Here is a 4,149-nt window from a genome sequence, read left to right as displayed (position 1 = left end):
GAGCCAAATCATATCATTCTGTTCAAATTTCAGTTACTATGGTATACATGTGAATAATTTCATAAAGTACAAGTTTTGCTTCCAGCATTTTAGTCCACAAATCACTACATAATAACAGATATGCATCATGATACATGACTAATCAATAACTTATTTTAATATCTATCAGTGATTATCACTGTACATTATGCAATTCATGCACAGATAGCAGAGCATGTAGTCATGTTGTCTCCTGGTCCCCTTAGTGATAAACCCATGTGACTTTTTTTAATGGATAATGAAAAGAGAAAATTGTCCAACAAAAATGAAAGCACAGAAAGAAGTTAAATCTGAATGCAACACAGATGGAGTTATAGAGGAAATAGCTGACGATAGAATGTTGATACTGCTTTATATGGTTTCACTCTGTGTCCCCACCCCAATCTCATATCAAATTGTAATCCCCATGTGTTGGAGGAGGGACCTGGTGGGAGGTGATTGAATCATGGAGGCAGACTTCCCCCTTGCTGTTCTTGTGATAGTGAATGAGTTCTCACGAGATCTGGTTGTTTGAAAGTGTGTAGCACTTCCCCCTTTGCTCTCTTTCTCCTGCTGCCATGTGAAGAACGTGATTCCTTCCCCTTCACCTTCTGCCATGACTGTAAGTTTCCTGAAGCCCTCAATCATGCTTCCTGTTAAGCCAGCAGAACTGTGAGTCAATTAAACCTCTTTTCTTCATAAATTACCCAGTCTCAGGTAGTTCTTTATAGCAGTGTGAGAACAGATTAATACACTGTTGCTTTCAAGGAACTCCAGATATGCAGCCAGAAGAACTGATAGAAGGTAAACCTATTGACATAAATAAGGAATGTAGTAGTGACAAAAAGGATGAAGATGACTTAGAAGAAGTGATACAAAACTTCACATTAAAGGAACAATTGAAAGTAACCCGCAACACCAAGAACACTACTATAGACATCCTACTATAAAGCTATATTATGAAATAGGCTGACTAACTATAAAGCTGTCTTATGCTATTGGTGGAGGGATAAAAACATAAAACAGGCTGGGCATGGTGGCTCACACCTGTAATCCCAGCATTTTGAGAGGCCGAGGCGGCGTATTACCTGAGGTCAGGAGTTCAACACCAGCCTAGCCAACATGGTGAGACCCCATCTTTACTAAAATTACAAAAAAAAAATAGCCAGGTATGGTGGCAGGTGCCTGTAATCCCAGCTACTCAAGAGGCTGCGGCAAGAGAATTGCTTAAACCCAGGAGGCAGAGGTTGCAGTGAGCAGAGATCGTGTCATTGCACTCCAGCCTGGGTGACAGAGTGGGACTCCATCAAAAAAAAAAAAAAAACAAAAAACAAAAAAACCATAAAGCAATAAAACAGAATGGAATCCAGAAGTAGACTCCCACATATATGGACAATTCGTTTTTTTTCTAAAAATTCTCTGTGCTCTGTTTGTTCATCTATCTCTACACCCACAAGCCCCTGGCACCACTGATATTTTTATTGTCTCCATAGTTTTTCCTTTTCTAGAATGTCATATAGTTGGACCCTCTGCAACAAGTAACACTTTAATATGGGCTTCTTTAACTTTCTAATATGCATTTAAGTTTCCTCCATATCTTTTCATGGCTTGATAGCTCATTTCTTTTCAACGCGGAATAAATTTCCATTTCCTGAATATACCACGGTTTATTTATCTACTCACTATTAAAAAACACTTGGGGCTGGGGCATGGTGGCTCACGCTTGTAATCTCAGCACTTTGTGAGGCTGAGGCAGGTGGATCACCTGAGGTCAAGAGTTTGAGACCAGGCTGGCCAACATGGTGAAACCCCATCTCCACTAAAAATACAAAAATTAGCAGGCATGGTGGCGTGCTCCTGTAATCCAAGCTACTTGGGAGGCTGAGGCAGAACTGCTTGAACCTGGGAGATGGAAATTGCAGTGAGCTGAGATCGCACCACTGTACTCTATCCTGGGTGACAGAGCGAGACTCTGTCAAAAAAAAAATTATTTGCTACCAAGTTTTGGTAATTATGAAGAAACTTGCTAAAAACATCTGTGTACATGCTTTTGTGTGGATATAAGTTTTCAATTCATTTCTATAAATACCAAGAGCACAACTGCTAGGCTGTATGATAAAAGTACATTTAGGTTTGTGAAAAACTACTAAACTATCTTGAAAAGTGGCTGTACCACTTTGCATTCTGACCAGAAATGAATGAATGAGCATCCCTGTTACACCACATCCTCACCAGCATTTGCGTTCAGTGTTTTGAATCTCAGCTGTTCTAATAGGTGTCTATAGTGACAGGGAACAGATGTAGAGCCGTATCTCATGGTTTTAATTTGCAATTCCCAAATGATACATGATACAAAACATCTTTTCCTCTGTTCATTTTCCATCAATATATTCTTTATTGACTTTATTTTTTCTTATCATTGAATTTTAAGTTATTTGTATATTATGGGAAACAGTCCTTTATCAGGTATATTTTTGCAAATATTTTCTCCTAATTTGTGGTTTGTCTTTTCATTCCCTTGAGCCAACTGATTTCTTTTACAAAAGTGGAAAGGCAATCAAATCGTGAAAAGATCATCATTTCCACAAACGATTGGACAAATTGTACATACATACATAAAAAATGAACCTCAGCTTAAACCTTATACCTCACAGAAAATCGAACTTAAAAAAATCATGGACCTAAATCAAAGTGTAAAACTATAGAACATTTCAAAAAATTGGAGAAAATCTTTATCACCTCAATTAGCCAAAGTGTCCTTTGGCATTATATCAAAAGCATTAGTCCAACAAGAAACAAACTCATAAACCATATTTCATCAAAATTAAACACTTTCACTCTGTGAAAAACGCCACTAAGAGGCTAAAAAGATAAGCTACAGACTAAGAGAAAATATTGAAAATCATATCCAACAAGTACTTGTATCCAGAACATATAAAGAACCTTGTAAACTCACCAGTATGAAAATAATCCAATTTTAAAACTCAAAGACTTGAACAGAAACTTCACCAAAGAAGGTATACAGATGATTCAAAAGAACATGAAAAGATATTTAACATTGATCATTAGTTGTTAGGGATATGCAAATTAAAATCACTAGCAGATATCACCACACATCTATTAGAATGGCTAAAAATAAACAATTTTATTTGACAAGGAGACAGACCATCTGTAACTCTTGTATATTGCTGGCAGGAATGCAAAATGGTAAAGTCACTCTTGAAAACAACTTAACATTTTTTTATAAAATTACACATACTTACCATATGATTAAGCAATTGCATTCCTGGGAATTTAAACCAGAGAAATCAAAACTTGTGTTCACAATAAAATCTGCACATGAATCTTATAGCAGTTCTAGTGATAATCACCAAAAACTGGGAAAAAATGCAAATGCACTTCAATAAATCAATGAATAAACAAACTGTGATACATCCATAGAATGGAATACTACTCAGCAATAAAAAAGAATGAACTACTTTTATATGCAACAACTTGAATGAATGTCAAAAACATGCCTAGTGAAAAAAGTCAAGTCTCAAAAGTGTACACACTTTATAATTCTGTTTAGATGACATTCTTTAAAACACAAAACTAGAGTGACAGAAAATAGGTCAGTATTTGCCAAGGGTTGAGAGGATGGAGGAGAGGTGAAGGGGTGACTACAAAGGAAGAGCAAAAGGGAAATTTCTAGGGTAGTAAAACTTCTCATCCAGATTATAATATGGGAATTCAAATCTGTTTATGTGTTAAAATTGTTTCAACTGTACACCAAAAATAGTTAATTTTACTATTAGTTTAAAAATTAAATTTTTTAAAAATCAAATTATTTTAAAATGCAGTATATCCTAGGTGAACTCATTCTTTTTAAAAAAATTTCAACTTTTATTTTAGATTCAGGGAGTACATGTGCAGGTTTTTACATGGGTATGTTGTGTGATGCTGAAGTTTTGGGTACAAATGCTCCCATCACCCAGGTAGTGACCATAGTATCCAACAGGTAATTTTTCAGCCCTTGCCCCACTCCTCTCTCCCTCCTTTAGTAATCTCCGGTGCCTATTATTCCTGAGTACACACTATGTCCATGTGTACTCAGTGCTTAGCTCCCACTTATAAGTGAGAACACATGGT

The sequence above is a fragment of the Homo sapiens genome, chromosome 21, assembly GCF_000001405.40.
Source record: "Homo sapiens chromosome 21, GRCh38.p14 Primary Assembly".
NCBI classification, from domain to species: Eukaryota; Metazoa; Chordata; class Mammalia; order Primates; family Hominidae; genus Homo; species Homo sapiens.
The sequence above is the reverse complement of the archived record's forward strand: the minus strand, read 5'-3'. Positions refer to the sequence as shown.